Source organism: Homo sapiens, chromosome 10 (assembly GCF_000001405.40).
Source record: "Homo sapiens chromosome 10, GRCh38.p14 Primary Assembly".
Taxonomy (NCBI): Eukaryota; Metazoa; Chordata; class Mammalia; order Primates; family Hominidae; genus Homo; species Homo sapiens.
Window position 1 is genome coordinate 6,014,222 of NC_000010.11, and position 24,032 is coordinate 6,038,253.

General features: G+C 45.1%; 1 protein-coding gene, 2 long non-coding RNA genes and 1 other non-coding gene across 6 annotated transcripts in view; 2 read left to right on the plus strand and 2 right to left on the minus strand.

Annotated features, from left to right (window-relative positions):
• The window catches only part of IL2RA (interleukin 2 receptor subunit alpha), a 51,679-nt gene that overhangs the window by 3,533 nt on the left and 24,114 nt on the right, over window positions 1-24,032 (minus strand). Inside the window, exons 2-7 of one of the 3 annotated variants that reach the window (NM_000417.3) lie at window positions 11,613-11,804; window positions 10,023-10,133; window positions 7,257-7,472; window positions 5,649-5,720; window positions 5,207-5,278; window positions 3,832-3,898 (exon numbers count right to left, since the gene is read on the minus strand). In NM_000417.3, coding sequence (NP_000408.1) covers window positions 3,832-3,898; window positions 5,207-5,278; window positions 5,649-5,720; window positions 7,257-7,472; window positions 10,023-10,133; window positions 11,613-11,804 — 730 coding nt within the window. The remainder of the gene's footprint in view (window positions 1-3,831; window positions 3,899-5,206; window positions 5,279-5,648; window positions 5,721-7,256; window positions 7,473-10,022; window positions 10,134-11,612; window positions 11,805-24,032) is intronic. The other 2 variants (NM_001308242.2, NM_001308243.2) reach the window with 2 other exon arrangements.
• Window positions 1,237-7,273, plus strand: LOC124902368 (uncharacterized). The gene is made up of 3 exons (XR_007062042.1): window positions 1,237-1,310; window positions 2,043-2,111; window positions 7,115-7,273. It is a non-coding gene; the product is annotated as an uncharacterized LOC124902368 (long non-coding RNA).
• LOC124902573 (small nucleolar RNA SNORA14) lies at window positions 2,833-2,973 on the minus strand. The gene has a single exon (XR_007062403.1). It is a non-coding gene; the product is annotated as a small nucleolar RNA SNORA14 (small nucleolar RNA).
• On the plus strand, window positions 21,189-22,201 carry IL2RA-AS1 (IL2RA antisense RNA 1). The gene is made up of 2 exons (XR_001747349.2): window positions 21,189-21,841; window positions 21,964-22,201. It is a non-coding gene; the product is annotated as an IL2RA antisense RNA 1 (long non-coding RNA).

A 24,032-nucleotide genomic window follows, 5' to 3' on the forward strand; every position in this document is an offset into this window, starting at 1 on the left:
CACATCACGGGCTCCTGGTCATTGCCCGAAACAAACAAAAAATATTTCCCCAACCAAAACTCTCTGGCTGGGCTACAGTGATCTTTCGGTAATTCAAATGCAGCATTTCTGTTGCCACAAGAGGGCACCATGGGTTGATATCAGATTCTAGGAAGGCTTTTGGACAAACTGACTAGAGGGGTCATTTCTAGATGTATGTTTGAGTCTCCCCAAAGATTGTAGTTCTGGGAGACCTTGTGGGAACTCACATAGGTTCACACAGTTATTTGTTTCACAACATAAACACTGAACCATTCCTACTTCCAAATAGCTTTGTCCTCTGGGCCCGAAGGCTTTTGATCTTCAAACTAACAAATGAAAAAAATCCTTGCAAGGTGTTAAGGCTTGTCAGGTGTTCAGCCTGAGGAAGGAGAGGATGCAAGTACTGAGTACACGTACAACATGTCAGCCACGTCACATCCTTCCCCTCCTGGAAGCCTAAAATGACACCTTAGGAGTCAGCTAACCCCTTAGAGAAACTGGTAGACTGCCGGGTATATGAATCATTCCTGCTACAATAACCCTAGGGGGCTTATCATTTGCACTGCAGTAATTTATACTTTTTAATTCCCATGAGGAAAATTAGGAGTATGTTATGGACCTGATGACCCATATAAGAAGGGAAGAGATATTTTATTTTTCTCTCTGGCTGGGCTAAGGGCTTTGGTTTTGGGGGAGTGGATCTGTATTTTCTCAGGGTCTTACTGTGGAGTTTGTATCAGGGTTGGCCAGAGTGGATGCTGGCAGGGGTCAGGGAGGCCCTGGATAATCAAGAGAGAGACAGAGGGAGTTTCTAGAGTTTACTTTTTCTTTTTCTTTCTTTTCTTTTTTCTTTCTTTCTTTTTTTTTTTAAACAGAGTCTTGCTGTGTCACCCAGGGTGGAGTGCAGTGGTACGATCTCAGCTCACTGCAGCCTCTGCCTCCTGGGTTCAAGCGATTCTCCTGCATCAGCCTCCCGAGTAGCTAAGATTATAGGTGCGCACCATGACAGCCAGCTAATTTTTGTATTTTTAGAAGAGACAGGGTTTCTCCATGTTGGCCAGGCTGGTCTCAAACTCCTGACCTCAAGTAATCCGCCTGCCTCGGCCTCCCAAAGTGCTGGGATTACAAGCGTGAGTCTGGCCAGCTTCCCTGATTCTTAATGCTGTTAGCCTAGTGCGGTGATCCTCAGAGTCTGCTCCCTGGAACGGCAGCGTCAGTATCACCTGGGAACCTGATAGAAATACAGATTCCTGGACCTAAGCAAGACGACTGCGTCAGAAACTCCACAGGTGGGACCCAGCAATCTGTGCTTTAACAAGGCCTCCAGATGATTCTTTCAACAAATGTTTTTAAGTTGACACATAATAGTTATATATATTTATGAGGTATGTAGGGATGCTTTGATACCTACAAGGTACAGTGATCAGATCATGGTATTTAGCATATCCATCATCTCAAACATTTATCGTTTCTTTATGTTCCTACAGATGATTCTGGTGCTAGTTCAAGTTTGAAAACCAATGGCCGGGTGTAGGGTTGTCAAACCTGGATGCATATGTATTAGATACATCTGAGGGGCTTTAAAACGTACGACTATCCCAGACATAAAAGGCCACGTGATTCCATTTACACGAAATGTCCAGAATAGGCAAATCCATAGAGACGGAACATAGAGTGGTGGTTTCCCGGGGCTGGGGAGAATGGGGAACTTGGCAGTGTGGGGCTTCTCTTGGGAATGATGGAAGTATTCTGGAATCAGTGGGGATGGCTGTACAACATTGCAAACATACTAAATACCACTTACTGTGGTTTGAATACATCCCCCAGAGCTCAGGTGTTGGAAACTTAATCCCTAATCCAGCAATGTTGACAGGTGAGATCTTGAAGAGGTGATCAGGTCGCGAGGGCTCTGCCTCATGAATGGATTAATGTTGTTATTGCAGGAGTGGGTTTGTGATAAAAGCTGAGTTCAGCCCCTCCTGCTGTCTCTCACTCTCTTGCCCTTCTGCCTTCTGCCACAGGATGACGTAGCACAAACGCCCTTGATACATGGGGGCCCCTCGACCTCAGACTTCCCAGCCTCCAGAATGGTAAGAAATCTCTGTTCTTTATAAGTTATAAATCTCTGTTCTTTATAAATCTCTGTTCTTTATAAGTTACCCAGTCTCAGGCATTCTGTTACAGTAGCACAAAATGGGCTAAGACACCACTGAACTGTACATTTTATGATGGTTAAATGATGAATTTTATCTCAATTAAAAATACGTACTGATGTCTTGGGCTCACCCCAGACATTCTGACTGGAGCCCAATCATTGATATCTTTTACCTTTTTCTTTTTTTTTTTTGAGACAGAGTTTCACTCTTGTTGCCCAGGCTGGAGTGTAGTGGCGCGATCTTGGCTCACTGCAACCTCCGCCTCCTGGGTTCAAGTGATTCTCCTGTCTCAGCCTCGCAAGTAGCTGGGATTACAGGCACCCACCACCACGCCTGGCTTATTTTTGTATTTTTTAGTAGAAACAGGGTTTCAGCATGTTGTCCAGCCTGGTCCTGAACTCCTGACCTCAGGTAACCACCTGCCTCAGCCTCCCAAAGTGCTGGGATTACAGGCATGAGCCACAACTCCTGGGCTATCTTTTAACTTTTTAAATTATTATGCTGTTTTGGCTGAACAACCTACATAAGCTACAAAAATATTTCCTATTGCAACAAATTTGTTCTTCTATTGTTGCAAATGAAGATTCCCCCCAAATTCAAAGTGGGTCACAATGGTTTTGGTGACAGGATTTCCCTCTTGTAAACCTCTCTTAAAAGATGTCACAGCTATGAATAACACTGAGCCACAGGAGAAGCACAGCCCTTTGGACTGCCTTCCTTTTCCTGTGGAATTTACTCATATCTTGCCACTCACTGGTATTTTAGAAGACTGTCTCCTGGATGTTCTAAGATGCATGCAGGGTTGAAAATCTGAGTTAATGCAAAAAGACCACACATGGTTTACATTCCTGGTCAAGGGGATGCCGGTGTGAGCTTCTGTGGACGGGAGGGTGGGGAGCACAGGATAGGCAAAGCTCAGCATAGATGCTGCCCTGGGTCCTCTATAGGTAGGGGCTGGGTGGGAAAATCATGGGCTCTAGATTCATGTTGCAGTGCTGGCCTCTGCTGTGCCATCTTCTCCAAGCTGTTGCATCTCTCTAGGCCACAGCTATTCCAAAGGTTTCTGAGAAGGTAGATTTCAATAATGTTTATAAAACAAGCATCAAGCCTGGTGTATAGTGGGTGCTCAATGAATGTGAGGCTCCTTTGCCTTCCCATTTCCCTGGTCGTTTAATTTTTTTTTTTTTTTTTTTTTGAGACAGAGTCTTGCTCTGTCACCCAGGCTGGAGTGCAGTGGTGAGATTTCTGTTCACTGCAACCTCCGCCTCCCAGGTTCAAGCAATCTTCCTGCCTCAGCCGCCCAAGTAGCTGGGATTACAGGCACCTGCCACCATGCCCAACTGATTTTTTGTATTTTTAGTAGAGATGGGGTTTTGCCATGTTGGCCAGGCTTGTCTCAAACTCCTGACCTCAGGTGATCCACTCAGCCTTGGCCTCCCAAAGTGTTGTGATTACCAGCGTGAGCCACTGCACCCGGCGGTGCTTTAATTCTTTTTAACTGACTCTTTCCGAGGCATGGATTGGCCTCTCCCTTTGCCACTCCCTGAACTGCAGGTGATTAGAGAGAGCATGGAGGGGGTAGGGGGGAGGCAGGGTGGGGCTGGGTACAGGACTTTGATCTGACCAAGGGCTGCCTTGGTGATGCCACACTTACTGTCTCCGCTGCCAGGTGAGCCCACTCAGGAGGAGGACGCTGATCAGCAGGAAAACACAGCCGGCCACTGTCAATAGAGAGAGGGAGTTCAGCAAAGGGCCCTGGGCTTGGCATGGGGGCAGCAGGAGCCAGGGCCACAGGGCAGGCTGAGGACATCCCCAAAGAGCAAGGCGGAGGCTGCAGCCTCTCTTCCCTGTCTCAGGAAGTAGGTCCCTCCCCATGGGATTTCCTAGGAGTCTTGAGGAACAGGGCAGGGAGGACAGGGTGAGGGTGGAGGGAGCTTCCCCTCAGGAGGCACCCTTCTCTCACAAAAGCCCCTCAGAAAGGCTCAGAGGCCAGGCCTCGTTTAAGGACACCGAGAGCGCCTGGTAAAAGAAATGTTGAAATATGAAGATGATGAGAAGCACATTAACATCTCCTGAAAGAGGTCGGGTTTTCCAGATGCTGCTCTGCTGAGGTTTTGGAGGCTGACATTTGTTTACTTTCTAGGCAGATGCAGACTCAGAGTCTGTTTTTCCCTCCTACCAGGAAACAATGGCAGTGTTTCTGGAAGCCTGTCCTCTCTGACTGGCTACGTGGCTCCTTCCTCCCACTCTTGACCCCTGGCAGAGGCCCGGGGTACAGCCCTTCCAGATCAGCTTGAGAGGAGCTGATAGGGCTGACTTGAGACTTTGCTCACAGCATCCTGTAACTGGTTCATGCGAATTCTGAGTTACGTCAGTATCTGGATTAGTCTTTCACTCACACATTCTGCAGTGTAAGGAAGGGGTCCTTTCAGTCAACCAACCAACCTACCAATCAACTAACCAACTAACAAACCTACTAACCTACCAACAAACTAACCAACCAACCAATCTACCAATCTATCTACCAACCAACTCACTAACCAACCAACCAGCTAACCAACCAAACTACCAACAAAACTACCAACCAACCTGCCAATCTACCACCCTAACAACCAACCTACCAACCAACCTATCAACTTATCAACCAACCCACCAACCAACCTATCAACTTACCAACCAACCTATCAACTTATCAACCAACCCACCAACCAACCTATCAACTTGCCAACCAACCTACCAACCAACTAACCAACTAACCCACCAACCTGCCAATCTACCAACCTACCAACCAATCAACTAACCTACCAACATACAAACCAACCTGCCAACCAAGCAACCAACCAACTAACCAACTAACCTCCCAACCTACGAACCAACTTACCAATCAACTAGCCAACCTACCTATCAACCTACCAGTCAACCAACTAACCAACCTACCAGCCAACCAACTAACCAACCTACTAACCAGTCAACCTGTCCATATCTCAGCCTGGTGTACATTTTGTCCACAAAGCCAGTGCCCCACTCACCTGCTACCTGGTACTCTGTTGTAAATATGGACGTCTCCATGGTTGCAGCCATTTCTGTCTGTATTTGAAAATCTGTGAAAAAGAGATAAAGAGAGACACTCCTGCTACCGTGACTTTAGGACAGCACGAGGCTAAAGGAAGTCAGGGTGTCTCTGTGAATGAGAAGCTCAGAGGCTGGTGGGAGACACGTGGTGGTGGTGAGGGAAGGTGTTCCATCTCTGCCTGGGGACCGTGCTTGGTCCTGGTCCTGGGTTCCCTCTTTCTGACACTTGCTTTGGGGCCTGCAGGTTGCTGAGGCCCTGTCCCTGCTCAGAGGGAGAGGAGGCTGCTGTGGGCTTCTCCCCTACAGGTCACCTCCGCCTATCTCCCTGAGCCTGGCTCCTGGTCACCTCTGCCCTTTTGGACTAGGCCTCTGTGGTCCAGCGTTTGTCTTCTCCCGCACCTGTTGTTGTGACGAGGCAGGAAGTCTCACTCTCAGGACGGCCTTCGGGGCTTGCCTGAGGCTTCTCTTCACCTGGGGGAGAGAGTAAGTGATGCTGGTGGAGCTAAACACAGGAGTCAGGGCCTCACTCCCACCCCGCCTGCCCCAGGCAGCCGGCCCCAGACACGCCCGAGGAGGCAGGAATCCTGGTGTGGGCACTTCGCCAGGGATGCCACCCCTCATGGTTCCACAGCAGGGGCACTGGGAAGCGGTGAAGTGGTCTCAGCAGAGCAGACGAGGCTGAATTCTAACTCTGACCCTAGCTGTCCCCAAAACTCTGAGCAATGCTTTCTCCCCAGCCTCCCTCCCCAGTCCTGGTTTCCATCTGTGACTTGGAAACAGGTCATAATAATACGAATGCCATTGAACCACTGGATGGAGCAGAGATGCACTAAGGGACAGCTGCTTCTGTGCCAGGCTCTCCACTTCTCCTGAGGGGTCAGCAACCCTGGCTCTGCCCTGCCTCTCACCCTCTTCCAAGGAAGCAGCAAGCATTCCCTGGCTGTCAGGGTGGCCCAGGGAAGCAGCTAAGGGAACAAAACAGCCTCCCTAGGGAACCCAAGAGAAGGACATGGAGTATGAGAAGTGCAGTGAGCAAGAAAACCAGGAATACTTGTGGTTGAATGTAAGTCACTTTTTTTTTTTGAGACGGAGTCTTGCTGTTGCCCAGGCTGGAGTGCAGTGGTGTGATCTCAGCTCACTGCAACTCCACCTCCTGGGTTCAAGTGATTCTCCTGCCTCAGCCTCCCAAGTAGCTGGGATTACAGGCACCCACCACCACGCCCAGATAATTTTTGTATTTTTAGTAGAGACGGGGTTTCACCATGTTGGCCAGGCTGGTCTCGAACTCCTGACCTAAAGTGATCTGCCCGCCTTGGCCTCCCAGAGTGCTGGGATTACAGGTGTGAGCCACTGTGCCCAGCCTGCATGTAAGTCACTTTTGATTGTCGTGATACTAATAAGATTTCAGAAGGAAGACAGCAGGAGACCTCGACATCGGTGGGCTGAGCATTTGCATGAGTATGTGTGTGTGTGTGTGTGTGTGCGCGCATGTGCACTGAGTAAGTCCCGACTCTGCACATTTTATGTTTATTTTTACAAGCTCAGCTGGGGAATGGCACAAGGGGAAGGAACATGCTGACCGTGGAGGGCTGTTCAGATCATGCATTTACACGATCACCAGTAAGAGGAAAAATGTGTGAGTGGGAAACTGGACTTGCCCTTGGAGCCAGAGGAGGCCTTGGTGGCTTAGAGAAGTAGTGGACTTAGGACCAACTACGAGGCAGCATCTAGGGTGCTTAGGAGAGGGCTTTCCTTCTCTTCTGTCTCCAACCTTTCTCCCCACTCAGGGCACAGGGGGACCTTCATTGAAGGAGCCCTTAGAGTCCATCTGATCTGGTCTATTTAAATTTTTTTTTTTTTCTCAGAATGAGAAAAAATGGAAGCCCAGGGAGATCAAGGGTCTTGTCCAAGGACCACTCTTGTCCAGCAGGAGTGGTCAGGGATTCCACTCTGGTCAGCCTGATGGAGCAAAGCAACATTGTGGACCCCAGAAGGGAGCCACCCTACCTGGAAACTGACTGGTCTCCATTTCACCTGTGCATATGAGCTGGGGCTGGGTCCACCTTGTCTTCCCGTGGGTCATTTTGCAGACGCTCTCAGCAGGACCTCTGTGTAGAGCCCTGTATCCCTGGACGCACTGATAATAAACCATCTGCCCCACCACGAAATGATAAATTCTCTCTGTGGCTTCATTTTCCCATGGTGGAGGTTCCCTGCAGTGACCTGGAAGATGGAAGGAATGCTCTGAAGGCAAGTTGGGGACAGCACCGCGAGTGAGTCCAGGTTGCCTCTTGCTAGGGACTGGACCTTGGTTCTTACTCTCTTGACTGCTTGCTCATCCTTTCATTCAACCAATATATGTTGAGAACGTCTGAGCGTGGGGAAGTTTGCTAGGCCCTGTAGGAAGGCACGAAGACCCTGTCACTCCTGCAAGGGGTGGACAGTGGATTGGGTAAGAAAGGCATGTGAAGGATAGCAGACGTTGGCAATGGGAACACAGAGGAATGAGCGATTCATTCTGGTTGGTGCGGCCCCGAGACAGGAACGCCACAACTGCCTCTTGGAAGACAGTGCAGGTGTTGACAGTGGACAGGAGTGGGCGGGGCAGTCTCAGCTGAGACACAAGGGTAGGCTCAAGCCTATTTGGGCCAATGGAGCATGAAGACCACCTTGGATTTCTGCTGGACAAGTGAGGAAGTGCATTCTTGGGGGCAGCGGCTGGGCATCTTGGGATGATGTCGGAAGGATTGGGGACAACACCAAAGCCAGGAGGAGGGACGGGCTGAGGGAACCTCAGAGAAATGGAGCACCATCTCTGATCAAGCCACACCTGAAGGTTGACACACATGCGCCCTTTCAAGACGTCTCAAAATTTCCCATCCCCAGAACTTTCCACTCACCCAACTACATCCCAGGCCTGACGGACCTGTGGCCTGAGACCATGTCTTGTTCTGATTAAATCTCTGAATTCCCCACCCACAGCCCCCAACCTGGACATATGGAATTGTATGTGCCCTCTAACCCCAGCCTGTGAAACTGCGCACGTGCTCTGAACTTCCAGACTCTCCCCAACCCTGCATACCCAACAGAGCCTCTGTAAATATCCTCCAGAGCCTCTTCCCCAGCAGGAAGCTGGGTGGCCCTGTCCCAGGCTGGCTCCTGCCATGTGGCACCTTGAACATCACGACTGAACTTGTGTTTTGGTCTCAGGATAAAAGGTTGTTTGACAGCCAGTACAATTCGTAACTGTCTGAACATGTTTGAATTGGGTTTGCTTCTTTCCAATGAAAACACCCAAACTGAGACAATCTTTGAAACATCCCTCAGGCAGAGCCAGCCTTCGAGAAAGGACAACAAGCATTGGCCTCTTTGAAGCCTTCCAATAACTGTGCAGGGTGATATGGGGGAAGTAGAACAAAACAAACAAATGTGCTTGGAAACACCATTCCAGGACAAAGTCGGAAGGGGAAGGAGTAAGAGCATCATGTTGCAACTGTGCCCCTAGATTAGTCTGTTTTAAAAAATAAAATAATGGAAGCTGTAAGTAAATTCAAACTCTTTTAAAATAAGTAATCAGCAGAAAGTTTCCTCATCTAATCTGGGAGACCTGAGGTCTGATTCCAGCCCTACTATGTGAGCTTAACCAAATCTTTTTATCTTTTGTGCATCTCAGTTTCTTCAGTAAGTTGAAGTAACCCTTCCTGGTCCTGACTCATTGTATAGCCAGGCTCAAATGGGATGGTATCTGATACAGTTCTTTGTAAGGTTGTAAAATCAGCAAAGGGCTCTGAAGTCTCCTAAGGCTAGCCTGACCTTAGAAAGCTCAATTCTTCCTAGCAGGTTCTGTGGGTTTTTTTTCTTTTTTGTTTTGTTTTTTTGAGGGGGGACAGAGTCTTCCTCTGTCACTCAGGCTGGAGTGCAGTGATGCAATCTCTGCTCACTGCAACCTCCACCTCCTGATTTCAAGCAATTCTCATGCCTTGGCCTCCTGAGTAGCTGGGACTACAGGCATCCACCACCATGCCCAGCTTAATTTTTGTATGATTGTAGAGACAAGGTTTCACCATGTTGGCCAGGCTGGTCTCGAACTCCTGACCTCAAGTGATCTGCCTGCCTCAGACTCCCACAGTGCTGGGATTACAGGCGTGAGCCACTGCGCCCAGCCCATTTTCTTGACACCATAACTGAATCCCAATTCAGTCGTGGGAAAGCAGAGGGCAGACAAGGGACAGCCACAGTGCCCACTCATGCACAGACTGCTGGCCAGGACACACGCATCTGGAGCTTTTGAGACTCACAAGTGTGGCATGCACATTTTACAACCTTGCCCTGGAAGAAATACTGGGAAGCAAGTAATTTTTTTGCGGTGCGTTGTCTTGTGCTTAAGGGGAAGACGCAGAGCGTTTCCTTGAGGGCAGGGATCGTTGTCACACTCTTGTTTGTGTCTTCTATCAGCAGGGCCTGGCACACAGACCCAACAGACGCTTTTAAGTTGAGTTGAATTTGGGTTGAATTCTATTTGGCCAGTTACCAAACCAGGGAGTAAGCCCAGACCTGGATTGGCTGCCGTCAGATTGGCTTTAGTTGCTGAGCAAACAGCCTCTGAGCAACTCTGCACTAATTCTTGTCTGCAATGATGTCTTGGGAGGACGGAGCCACATGCATGTGTTTATAGAAGGCAGGGCAGACCTTCTTCCTTTGGGTACACATCATCTGCCTGCAGGAGAAGGGTGCGCTAGCAGGAGTTAGCTGGAGGACAGATTCATCTCTCACCTGGAAGGCTCGCTTGGTCCACTGGCTGCATTGGACTTTGCATTTCTGTGGTTTTCCTTTCTTTCTGTTCTTCAGGTTGAGGTGTCACTTGTTTCGTTGTGTTCCGAGTGGCTAGAAAATATAGATGGAATGATGCAGATAATTTCACAAATGCTTCATAGAAAACACTGTTCATGTATTCATTCACTTGAGAAGCACACCTGTCCAGGGCCCACGATGTGTCTGGTGGTGTCTGGCTGCTGAGCTTACAAATACGAAACCAGAGTATGCCCTCCCAGCACCGGCCTCTGGGTATTCAAGTGCATATGGCAATGCCCACGACATGTTTTTGAGCGTGTGTATACGTGTCTGTGCATGTCATGTATGTTACGTGTCTGTGTATGCCATGTATGTTACGTGTCTGTGTATGTCATGTATGTTATGTGTGCATGTGTGTGTCTCTCACCAAAAGGGACTCCTTGCTTGCTGTCAATTGTCTCTGTGTTGTTTGACAGCAGCAGGAGTGGTCTCACTCCACAACACACTGATCCTTTGCTCCCTAAGGCTGTTCAGAATGCTTGAAGTTAGAGACGCCATCTTAACACAATGACAAGGAAACTTCTAGAACAGCCCTCTCTATTGTGAAGAGTTTGGCAAAGGAGTTGAGTCTGAGTGCCCCAGTGAGGGGGGTGATCAGTATTCCAGCTCAGGATAAAAGAGGGTGTCTAGGTCAGGTGTGGTGGCTCACACCTATAATTCCAGCACATTGGGAGGCTGAGGCAGGAGGACTGCTTGAGCCCAGGAGTTTAAGACCAGCCTGGACAACATGGGGAAACCCCATCACTAACAAAAAATACAAAATATTAGCCAGGCATGGTGGTGTGCGCCTATAAGGCCCAGGCAGGAGAATCACTTGAGGCCAGGAGTTCGAGACCAGCCTGGCCAACATGGCGAAACCCCATCTTTGCTAAAAATAAAAAAATTAGCCAGGCATGGTGGTGCACACCTGTAGTCCCAGCTACTTGGGCAGCTGTGGCACAAGATTCACTTGAACCCAGGAGGTGGAGGTTGCAGTGATCTGAGATTGTACCACCGCACCCCAGCCTGGGCAACAGAGCGAGACTGTCTCAAAAATAAAAATAAAATTGTGTGGCCGGGCACTGTGACTCATGCCTGTAATCCCAGCATTTTGGGTGGCTGAGATGGGCAGATTACTCAAGGTCAGGAGTTTGAGACCAGCCTGGCCAACATGGTGAAACCCCATCTCTACTAAAAATGCAAAAATTAGCCAGGCATGGTGGAGGGTGCCTGTAATCCCAGCTACTCAGGAGGCTGAGGCAGGAGAATCACTTGAAGCCAGGAGGCGGAAGTTGCAGTGAGCCGAGATCGCGTGCCATTGCACTCCAGCCTAGGCAACAGAGTGAGAGTCTGTCTCCAAAAAAAAAAAAAATTGTGTTTAGTGAATGACTTTTCAGGAACCACTAAAATTAGTTATCCTGTAGACTGGACTGGCCCATTTGTGTCTATAGGGCTGAGTGAACAAAAGCTGGGCTCTGTCTCACTCTTTGCTGCAGTTCTTTTGTTCTTGGTAGTCACAGAAGGGACACTTACCAGAGCTTGTGCATTGACATTGGTTGTCCCAGGACGAGTGGCTAGAGTTTCCTGTACAGAGCATATAGAGTGACCCGCTTTTTATTCTGCGGAAACCTCTCTTGCATTCACAGTTCAACATGGTTCCTTCCTTGTAGGCCATGGCTTTGAATGTGGCGTGTGGGATCTCTGGCGGGTCATCGTCACAGAGCTCTGCAAAGCAAAAGAAGCCTATTAGGAACTCAAGAGGCCCCAGGCAAGTACTCACATATTTAATCCTATAATGACTTAATCACATATTTCTTCACTTTATTTAAAAGATGGTATGCCCTACTTTTTGTGAGAAAGCAACTAAGGCTGCTACCATTGTTCTTTAGAAAGCTTTGTATCAGAGCTGGCTCAAAAATTAACTACAACCAAGCTCCTCTCCAAAGCACAATGTATTTCAAACTAGATGAGTAGAAATTAACAAGGTTTTATTCCGAATATGCCTCATGTCAAGCAAGTATGGAGAGAGGAGGGTCAAGGAATGTGAAGAAAGGAAGAAGCAAAGTTACGTACATTTAATTGAGGGGCAAAATATGTCTGTGCAAGATACTTTTAAGGATATACGAGTTGTTAGACTTTCTATAATTAATGACTGTGCGCCATTTTTTGAGAAATATACAGAAAGTGCTTCACTCAATGTCTGGCAAATAGGAAATGTGTATTTCTCACCCACCTGCCCACCTCTGAGTTCACCAAATACCTTCTTATATTATGAAGACCTTAGCCTCCCTCAGCCTGAAAAATGGACTCTGGTATCTCACTAAAGGCACCAGAAGCAGTGGTCAAACATCAAACTATTAAAAGGAAAAGTGGCACAGGTCTAATCAGAAAAATAATTCCATTGCCTACTTTGCAACAAGTTCTCTGCTCTAAGAGATTAGATTTTGGGGGGAAATATCACATGCTGGATAAAGGAAGTGGACGGGGAGATGACAGGGACAGGAAGAGGCAGGAAAGCAGGAGTCTGTGGCCTCTCCGTCAATGGAAGCCCACACGGAGGCTGATCAGGGCTGCTGGCTGTACTTATGGCTGTGGGTTGGCCGGTTGTGTATTGGTCATTCAGGTTAAGTGAAGCTTCTCTGTGCCCTTAGACTCTGCCCAGCACCTTGTCCTCCGGAAGACCATCCCCATCCAATGGCTCAGGACTCTCCTGTCTCCCCTAAGAACTGAAGGTAGGGAGGCTGGGTGCAATGGCTCATGCCTGTAATTCCAGCACTTTGGGAGGCCAAGGCGGGTAGATCACATGAGGTCAGCAGTTCAAAACCAGCCTGGCCAGCATGGTGAAAACCACAGTCTCTACTAAAAATACAAAAAAATTAGCCGGGCGTGGTGGCATGTGCCTGTGGTCCCAGTTACTTGGGAGGCTGAGGCAGGAGAATCACTTGAACCCAGGAGGCAGAGGTTGCAGTGGGCCGAGATCACGCCACTGCACTCCAGCCTGGGAAACCCAGCAAGACTCTGTCTCAAAAAAAAAAACGAAGATAGGGAGAAATCAGACAGCTTGGCCCATCTCTAACCAACAAGGGACTAAGCAAAAGCAATTTAAATGGGCTCCATGGGCCAGAAATTACAGTGGAACAGGCAACATAAGTGCTCAATAAATGCTGGTAATCTCATGATAAGGCAAGAGCAGCAGCATGGTGGGAAGGAGAAAGATGGGTTTCTAACTTCTAGCTCCAGCAGCTTACAAGCTACATAGTTTTATTATTTTACTTCTCTAAGGCTCAGCTTCGTGCTGTAATAATTATTATTTTATTGATTTAATGATTATAGCAAATAATATACTAAGGTAACTTGAAGAAAGCCTGGAAAATAACAGGTATGGAATAGATGGTAGTTCTGTTCCTTTCCTTTTTCTCACTGTCCAGAAGAAGAGAATGGTAATTCAGATAGAGACTGGACTGAAGTTTACCTTAACCTTTAACTCCTGCAAAAGTTTGTCTCTCTGTACTTCTCATATCACTGGTACCATTTGTTGGCACTTATTATGGATCAACACCAACCAATATTTTAAGTATCAGAAGATAAATCTGTTACTAAAGCAAGACATGGATAATAATCAGAAAAACCAGTGAAGACTTCTGCTTCCAGCCATCACAGAGTAACTGGGACCAAAACTTACGTTTCTGCTGAAACAGCTGTAAAACCAGTCCAAATGTATACAGCAAGTGCTTTCAGGTGCTGAACAACAGGCAGCTCAGGGCTACATGATTTTGGAGGAGGGAAACACGTGAGAGGCGCCCACAGTTGCCCTGGCTTCCTTCCTGGGGTGCTTTCCTTCCCGGCAGCACCCAGGTGGAACCCAAGCAGAGTGGTTTCATTGACGTGACATGACTGGGATTTGTGGGGTGGGGCTCTGGAGAGGACACTGCATGAAGGTCGCCCCAAAATTATGTATAGGGGTCCACCTCAGGTTCTTAGCCAAGAGCTGGTCTGAACCTGAACAGGGCAGAACTCAGTGAAACTTAGCCCTGATTGTCCATTGTGAGGGCTGAGAGAAGAAGAGTTATGCTAAGTTTTATTTATAAAAACAGGTGTCTGAGCTGTGGGTTGTAGTTTTCCAATCCTGCTTTAGAGAAAGAGGCATCCCTAGGATGAATTTCAAAACCAAAATAGACCTGCCCTTACAAAGATTAAAACCAAGCCTAATAGACAAGAGGATGCGCTAGTCATTTAACTGCCTGGCAGAGCAAAATGCATTACCTTTTAAAGGACCATAAGATAATCTAGACCCTTTATAATGTATAGCTCATAATATCCAGCAAATTAAAAGAAAATCTAGACATGTGAAGAAACAGGAAAATGTGACATACTTGACCTACTCAAAAAAGTGCTCAATAGAAACAGACCCGTAAAATTGGGTGTGGTGGCTCATGCCTGTAATCCCAGCACTTTGGGGCGACAAGGCAGGCGGATCATCTGAGGTCAGGAGTTCCAGACCAGCCTGGCCAGCATGGTGACATCCCATCTATACTAAAAATACAAAAGATCAGCCGAGTGTGGCAGCGCATGTCTGTAGTCCCAGGTACTTGGGAGGCTGAGGCAGGAGAATTGCTTGAGCCTGGGAGGTGGAGGTTGCAGTCAGCCGAGCACCCCAGCCTGGGTTACAGAGTGAGTGAGAGTCTGTCTCAAAAAAAAAAAAAAAAGACCCCTAAAATGACCTAGATTTTGGAATTAGCACAAAAGGAATTTAAAACAGTTGTAATTACACTCAATGACTTAAAGCAGAGGTCAGTAAACTATGACCTGCAGATTTGCTGCCATTTATTTTATTTATTTATTTATTTATTTATTTATTTATTTATTTATTTATTTATTTTTGAGACAGAGTTTCGCTCTTGTTGCCCAGGCTGGAGTGCAATGGTGCAATCTTGACTCACTGCAACCTCTGCCCCCCGGGTTCAAGCGATTCTCCTGCCTCAGCCTCCCAAGTAGCTGGGATTATAGGTGTGCGCCAACACGTCTGGCTACTTTTTGTGTTTTTAGTAGAGATGAGGTTTCACCACGTTTGCCAGGCTGGTCTCGAACTCCTGACCTCAGGTGATCCACCTGCCTCGGCCTCCCAAAGTGCTAGGATTACAGGAGTGAGACACTGTGTTCAGTGGTTTATTTTTATAAATAAAGTTTTATTGGAAGAAAGACACACCCATTTATTTACATTTTGTCTATGGCTGCTTTTCTGCTATAATGGCAGAGTTGAGTAGTTGCAGTGGAGTAACATCGCCAGGTAGCCTAAAATATTTACTCTCTGGCCCTTTCAGAAAAAAAATTGCCAACTGCTAATTTAAAGAAAAAATGGTTATAATGAGTGAAACAACAGGATATCTCAGTAGATAAATGAAAACTTGTAATTTTTTTTTTTGAGATGGAGTCTTGCTCTGTTGCCCAGGCTGGAGTGCAGTGGCACAATCTTGGCTCACTGAAACCTCTGCCTCCCAGATTCAAGTGATTCTTCTGCCTCAGCCTCCCAAATAGCTTGGATTACGGGCACATGCCATCATACATGGCTAATTTTTGTATTTTTAGTAGAGATGGGGTTTCACCATGTTGACCAGGCTGGTCTCGAATTCCTGACCTCAGATGATCCACCTGCCTTGGCCTCCCAAAGTGCTGGGATTACAGGTGTGAGCCACCGTGCCCAGCCAATATTTTTAAACATAAAAAATTAAAACTAAAAGTTACAATATCTGAAATGAGCCTAGCCGGGGCTTGAAGGCAAATCAATAGAAATTATCCAAACTGATGAACACAAGAAATCTGAAAAAGAATGGACCTTTGGCATGCTGTAAGACAATATTAAATAGCCTAACCTACATTTAATTGAATTCCCAATGATAGAGAAGAGAAAGAATGGAGCAGAAAAAATATATGAAGAAATAATGGCCAAAAATTTTTGAAATTTGATGACAGATACTGATTTACAGATCCAGATGTTCACGGCACCAAGCAAGATACGTATAAAGAAAAGCCCATCTATATACATCGTAGCTAAACTGCTGAAAACCAAAGATAATGAGAAAATCTTAAAAGTGGCCAGAGGGAAAGGACACGTACCTACAGCGGAACGATGATGAATAACAACTGACTTCTCAACAGAAACAATAGAAGCAGAAAATAATGGCACAACATATTCAAAGTTTTAAAAGAAAAAAACCCGTCAACCTTGAAATCTACCTAGAGACAATATCCTCTAAAAATGAGGGTGAATTTAGTATATTTTCAGATAAAAGAAAGCTTAGAGAATTTATTATGGCACATCTGCATTACACTAAAGAAAAATTTTCAAGCAAAAGAGAAATTACACTAGCTAGAAACATAAATCGACATGAAGTAATAAAGAACACGTAAATATTTAGATAAGTGAAAAGGCCACTTTTTGTTTTTAACATCTTTGAAAGACAACTGTTTAAAACAAAAATAATAATATGGTATGGTGGGTTCTGTTGAACATGTAAATGTAAAATATACAGCAGTCCTAGTATAAAAGTTAGGGAGAATGGAATTGTACTGTTTTAGGTTTTTATATCATATAGAAAATGGTACAATATTAAGTAAGTAGATAGTGATAAGTTAAGGATTCATGCTGAATAGCCTAGAGAAACCACCAAATAATACCACAAAGAGTGTAGCTAAAAAGAATATTAAATTTGTTTGGTTAGCCAAACTGAAGAGAGAAAAGGAAGAATAGAGTAATAAAAATAGAAAAGGAACAGCTAAGAAACAGATAGCAAGAAGGTAGACTTGAAGCCAACCCTATCAGTAATTACATTAAATATAAATGGACAAAAATCCATACTTTAAGAGATAGAAACTTTCAGACTGGATTAAACAGCAGGGCCCAACTATATGCTGTCTTCAAGAGAACACACTTTAAATACAATAAAAATGATGGGTTGAGAAAACAGGATAGAAAAAGATATAATCTACAAAGATAAGCATAAGGAAGCTGGTATGGTTATATTAATATCAGGAAGTAGATTTCAAGATAAGGAACATTATTCTCAGATAACATGATTGTTTACATAAAATTACTGAGGGATCTGCAAAATGGCTACCAGAATTTAGCAAGTTAGCAATTTCAGTATATATATATACATATATATATATATATATATATATATATATATATATATGTATATATATATATATATGTATATATATGTATATATATATCACTTGTAGTTAGTTCTATATACTGACACAACCAATTAGAAAATTAAAAATTTAAAAACAATTGTATTTACAATTACATCAAAAAACATAAAATGTTTGTAAATAAGCCTACCAAAAACTTGTAATACCACTAAACTGAAAACTCTGAAATATTGCTGAGACATATTTTAAAAGAATTAAGCAAATGGAAAAATATACTATCTTTATAGATTGTAACATTCATTTAAAAAATCTATTCACCTTAAATTGATCAATTAATTCAAGGCAACTACAGTTTAAAAATCCAACACAATTTTTTAGTACAAATTTGGAAGTTATTTCTAAAAGCTCCTTAGAAACACAAAAGACCTAGAATATCTAAGACAATCGTAAAGATGTATACATTTGGAGGATTCATGACATCTGATATTCAGGCTTTCTATAAAACTATGGAAATCAAGGCAGCGTAGTATTAGCATAAGGACAAACAGTAATGAAACAGAGCAGAAAGTCCTGAAATGGACTCAACTCATGTTTGTTCAACTGCTTTTTTTTTAAACAAATAAATGTGCCAAGGAAATTCAATGAGAAAGGAAAAATCTTTTCGACAAATGCTTCTGGAGCAAATGGATAAATGTATGAGAAAAAAACTCACATCTTATGCAAGAATTAATTTTATTATATATATAAAGATAAAGATCTATGTACTAGGTCTATATCTTATAGATGTAACCATAAAAGGCAAAACTAAAAAGATTTCAGAAGAAAATTAAGGCAAATGACTTTGCAAGTTGGAGATAGGCAAAGATTGCTCATAGAGGATGCAAAAGCACTGACTATAAAAGAAAAAAATTGAGAATGTCTACTCATCCAGAGACATTAAGAAAATGAAAAAGTAGGCAGGGTGTGGTGGCTCACGCCTGTAATCCCAGCACTTTGGGAGGCCGGGGCGGGCAGATCACAAGGTCAGGAGATGGAGACCATCCTGGCTAACACGGTGAAACCCTGTCTCTACTAAAAATACAAAAAAATTAGCCGGGTGTGGTGGTGTGCGCCTGTAGTCCCACCTGCTGGGGAGGCTGAGGCAGGAGAATGGCGTGAACTTGGGAGGTGGAGCTTGCAGTGAGCCCAGATCGCGTCACTGCACTCCAGCCTGGGTGACAGAGCGAGACTCCATCTCAAAAAAAAAAAAAAGAAAAAAATGAAAAAGTAAATGATAGACTGAGAGAAAATATTTGCAATATATATATTTGTCACAAATACTTGTGTCCAGAATATATAAAGAAAAACAAAGCAAGAGTAAAAGGCAAACAGCCCAATAAATGGGCAAAGACTTGAACAATCACTTCCCCAAAGAAGATACACGACTATCAATAAACACTTGAAAGTGTATTTAACATCAGATATCAATAAAATGCAAGTTGAAAACAATGATGAGATAGCCCATTGGGGAAATGGAGGAAATGGATAAAAGACTGATACGTCAAATACTGGGGAGGAAGTAGAACTACCAGAACTCTCTTATGTTACTGGTGGCAGTGTAAGTAATGTAATTACTTTGGAACACTATCTGAAAGTATTTGGCCAGGCATGGTGGCTCACGCCTGTAATCTCAGCACTTTAGGAGGCTGAGACAGGTGGATCATTTTAAGTCAGGAGTTTGAGACCAGCCCGGTCAACATGGCGAAACCCTTTCTCTACTAAGGAGGCAGAGGTTGCAGTGAGCTGAGATCACGCCACTGCCCTCCAGCCTGGGCAACAGAGTGAGACTCTGTCTCAAAAACAAACAAAGAAACAAACAAACAACAACAAAAAAAAAACAAAAAAAGAAAGTATTTTTATTGACGTTAAATATATACCTGCCCTACAATTCAGCAATTCTACTTCTAGGTATTTATCTAAGAGGAATGAAGGGATGTGTCTACAGAAAGACTTTTATAAAATATTTATAGTAACTTCTTTCTTTTATTAAGCCCCTTCCATTCTAGTACATAGTAGCTTTATTAATAATAACCAACTCAATAATTCAAACATCCATCATTGGGAGAACAGACAAGTAGCTTATGATATAGTCATACTATAGAAACCATTCAAAAATAAAAAATAATGAACTATTGATACAGGCAATATTGATAAATCTCAAAAATGTTATGTTGAACAAAATAAGCTAAACACGAAATAGTGCATACACTTTGCTTTCATTTATATGAAGTTCACAAAAAGACAAAAGTTATATCCAGAGATAGAAAGCAGACAGTGGTTTCTTGTGGTAGGTGGGTATTGACCAGAAGGCAGAAGTGATGAAAACGTTTTTGCAGCTGTACACATTTGTCAAAACTCATCAAATTGTATGCCGCAGATCTATGCATTTCTTTATAAGTAATTTTAGCTCAACAAAATGAGCGAGAAGCATATTTAGCTACTCTTTTGTAATTATTCATTAGCACAAATAACCAGGATTGACCTCAGATGTTTTTGGAATCTGAGATGTCAATCACAAGCCAAGAACATTTCTAAACACATCAATTTGAAAAGAAGGAAACAAATTGTCTTGGAAGCTATTTTGTGCCCTTAGAAACTCTTGAATTCCATGAGAGTGCGTTTTTCTAGATGAGGTCATGGGCATTTTCAGAGTCATCATAAATTAGCCCGAGTGTCTGAAGAGGTCATGCGGGGACAAGGGGAAGTTCCAGAACTTCTTATTCTCACAGACTTTCCTTTCATAAAGAATCTTTCCTGGAATTTAGGATCTTGACACCTCCAGGTCTGTAGCTCAGTAACCACTAAAGAGCTTGGCTATAATCCTTTTCCCTGAAAGGCCTTGTCAGGAAGTGCCAAACATCACCTGAAGGCAGCAGGAGGTAGAAGAGTGTGTGGAAAGGTACGCTGGAGGGTTGCTCTTTTTCAATCTAATAGGAATAAATTTGGGATTTTTTTTTTAGCCCTTCTCAGTGTAGTGTTATAAAAGCAGCAACAGAACAACATCCAAAAAAAGAATAAAAAATAATTTGTCTAAAAGTCTTGCACAGTAATAACAGGAGGATTCCACTTATATGACTCCAAAATGTTGAAATCATCTTTCCCTATATTATCATTCTTTTATTTTTTAAGACAGCATACAACTGTCCTCATTCTCTAGTTTTACTCACTAACAATGCCAAAAATTACTTCTCAAAATTCAGCTAACAAGGGCTTTTCTCTGCCTTTACACTTCCTCCTGTCTTTCCAGACCCACTTCCTGCTTCTCCCAATGGGTCTTCTCAACATAAATCATTCTCTCCCGGAATATTTTCCAATTCCTAGCTCTACGCACTCCCCCAGCTCACACCAAGGGACCTGGGAGCTTGGGAGGCAGACAGAATTTTCCTTAGAAGAGGGGAAGGGGAATATTTTTCTCCCTGTAATTTTAAAGTATTGGCACGATTCTGGATGTAGACATCACCTTCTTTTCTGAGATTATTTGAAGTGTCTGGTGCCTATGGACTGTGGGAAAATTTGAGATGATCAATTCGGGAGTTGGAGGTGGGGGTGTAGGGTGGTAAACACTCAAGGCTTAGAAATTGGGGCTCCCCACCCTGCACTAGGGTCTCACACAAAGGGGTTGGCACAGGGCTGAGAAGCAGTGGGGCTCCTGTCCACCCTGCCCAGCACCTACTCCCACCAGGCAACTGAGTGGTATTTAGTCTGCAAGACTAGCCCAGAAACTTGAATGGGACCCTGAGAGAGCCAGGGGTTCCTTGGGCCCCCGCTAGGGGACTTTCTGTTTGCCCTGGGTCTCCCTGTGTGGGCAGGGATGGAGAGTGAGGGCCTGCCTTCATGGCAGTAGGCTCTGAGTGGGTGACTGGCGCCAGGCCAAGTTCTAGGTGGGCTTCCCAAAGCCACATTCAGGCAGGACGGAGCTGCTCTTGCACACGGTTTCGTGGGCTGGATTTTCTCTGTTGCACACATGCTTAGTATCTGTCTCTCCCTTTGTTCCTGAGTGGTGGGCCGCACATGAGGCTCTGAGCAGGCTATATCTCTATTCTGGCAATAAAAGTACTCTGGACACTGTTAAGGTGAGAAAAGAAAAGAAATCGGGGCTCCCAGGAGGAGAATCCTGAACCACGGGCTCTGCGGTGATGTGGCCTTCCTCTTTAGTTTTTGTGCCTTTTATGTGGGCAGAGGGAAAAAGAGACAGCCAGCAGTGATCATTAATCCTGAAAATGCCGAGGGCTTTGGCCTGGGACCCACACCAAGACAGAGTCAAACCGAGTTCTTCTAGTGTTGAGCGTGTTTCACATCTTCCGTTGGAGTTTGCTGTGGATGCTCATTAGACAGACATGGGCAGAATCCCACTTGTTCCTCGTCCTTTTCCACCTCACCTCCATCATTGTGGCTGAAATACACGATCATGGGTGTATCTTTCCTTGTGGATTTGTTGCCTCTAGGAGTTCTGTATGCAGCTGAAGGGTAACATCCCTTGGGAGCTTTTGCCTTGTCTGGCTGACGCCTTGGCAATCGCAAGTGACAGTGACGGAGAGCCACCTCCTCTGGAATGCATCATGGAACAGGTCTGGGAGAACAGAGGGTGCAGGTGAAGGGCCCTCGACAATGCTTCTCTTTGCATTGTGGGGTTTCCCCTTCAATGGATTGCTAAAGATTCAACTTCTCTGTCTCTTTGTGTGCCCGCTAGAAAGGGAAAAGCCAGGCATTTGTAGTCCTCCTGCCACAGATGACCAGAATGACCTCACCCAGGACAAACGGCGACAGATTTAGGAATTCAAGCCAGCTTTTCTGACTCCCAGGCACCTGCTCTCTCCTTTCGAGTGTTCGACTCCACTCTCAGTCACTCGTCACTCTTCCCAGAAGGACAAATGTGCAGCTTCTATGTCTTGGATTTCAAATAAAAGACGAGGAACTTGGTGAAATGAGGTGGTCTTTGCCTTCCGCGTCACTCTCTGCTCCTCCTGGCAAGAGGCCCCATTTTTCTTGCCACTGAGGTTAAGTGAAAACAAAACAAAACAAACAAACAAAAAAGAGGCCCCATTCACAGTAAAGATAAACAGCAGCCTGGGCAGGCCAGCGGCTCTTCCCTGACGTGGAATTATGAGCCCTCTTTCTTCGATTTTGCCACATACCCGCAGCTGCACTCCCATAATCTGAAAGCTGTCCCTTTAATTTTTACCACTTCATTATTAGAATTGGAGTAGAATGAAAATTAATTTTTCCCTGAGCTATTTTTGTGTCCCTTGAGTTAACCAGAAATACCAACCCTGGAAAGAGATGTGGGGGACAGTCATTTTAGAGAGCGGACACCACTGCTGAAGAAGAAGGATATCCCGGTTGGCTGCTCTAGAGCCGGCAGGACGGATGCTGAGGTTGTTCGCAGCAGCGTGTGTGCAGAGCCCCCGGGATCTTGCAGACTGGGATTTGTCAGGGCAGGTGTGGACATTGAGGCTATTTCTAACAAGCTCCTACATGATGCTGGGGCTGCAGAGCCCCAGGCCGCACTTGGAGTATGAGAGTTTCCAGGGAGTGAAGCCCCGGCTGCTCTCTCTGCCCCCTCTCCATCTGCCCCCTGGGTGAGGACAGGACTCCCATCCCTCCAGTGCACAGTGAGTGCTGCTCAATCTGCATCCACAGCGGTTTGTGCCCAGATGCTTCCTCACTCAGCGTCTAACAGGGTGCAGTGGAAACGTCATTGACTGGAGGAAAGGTGTGTGGGTGAGAAACGTTTGTCGGTTGAGTAACTTTTTGTCGTTATTTTTTTTCTCTGATGTTCAAAGTAAGAGAAAACTCATCTGGCCCCTGGAGCCCATGTGAGCAACATGAAAGATAAAGGGAAAAGGGGGCTGATAAAGATGTGGACCGAGTCTGAGATAAGATTCTTTGCCCCTTGGGTGAATCCAGGTGAAGTTGTTTTACTCTTAGCCCAGCCAGCCCTGGATAAAGGCTTCATCCCTCTTCTCTTTCCTGTCCATATATCAGAACTTTAAGCTCTACTTGTACCCAGTGAAGATTAGAATAACGCACGGAGCACAGGAAATGTCTAGGTGATGATTTCACTGAGCTTTACAAGGGACACAGGTACGCATCAAGAGCTTGGGCCACTGGGTAAAGAGGGATCTGGTTCTTGCTCTAACGCGGTTCATCTTCTGTGTCAGAATCAGATAGATTCTGGGTGTCAGAGACCCGAATCTTCCTCTTGTTCCGCTCACTGCCCCCCTGTGGCCCCTTCTCATTTCAAATGCTCTGTCTGTAATATGAAATGAAAAGAATTCCTCCCAGACCCCTAGCCAAATTTCACCTTAAGCTCGTTGACTCCCAGAGGAAATCTCTGTGGGAGACTGGAAAGAGGACGCTGGAGCCAGAGGCTATCTTTGATAGTGAGGTGAGGTTTACTGTTTAATAAGAACTCCAAAGATATGCCTAATATTGAAGGTTGTCTCTCGCTTCCTTGGGAAACCCAAACCAGAAGTTTAGGCCGTATAGAAAGTAAGTGGTTTGGGTGCAAAAGGGATGTAGAACATCCCTTTTAATGGTATCATAGAATATGAGAACTAGAAGAGAGCTCAAAGATCATTTAGGCCAACCTCTACATTTTATAGATAAGAACACTGGGCCTGTGGTCATTCCACAAGTTTGTGGCAAGCCTTGGATTACAACAGATCACCAGGTTCCCTGACTCCTAGTTCAGTGCTTTTCCAACACCCAGAATCATAATCTTCAGGAAGGAGCGTGCTTTTCACCTATCTGTTGAAG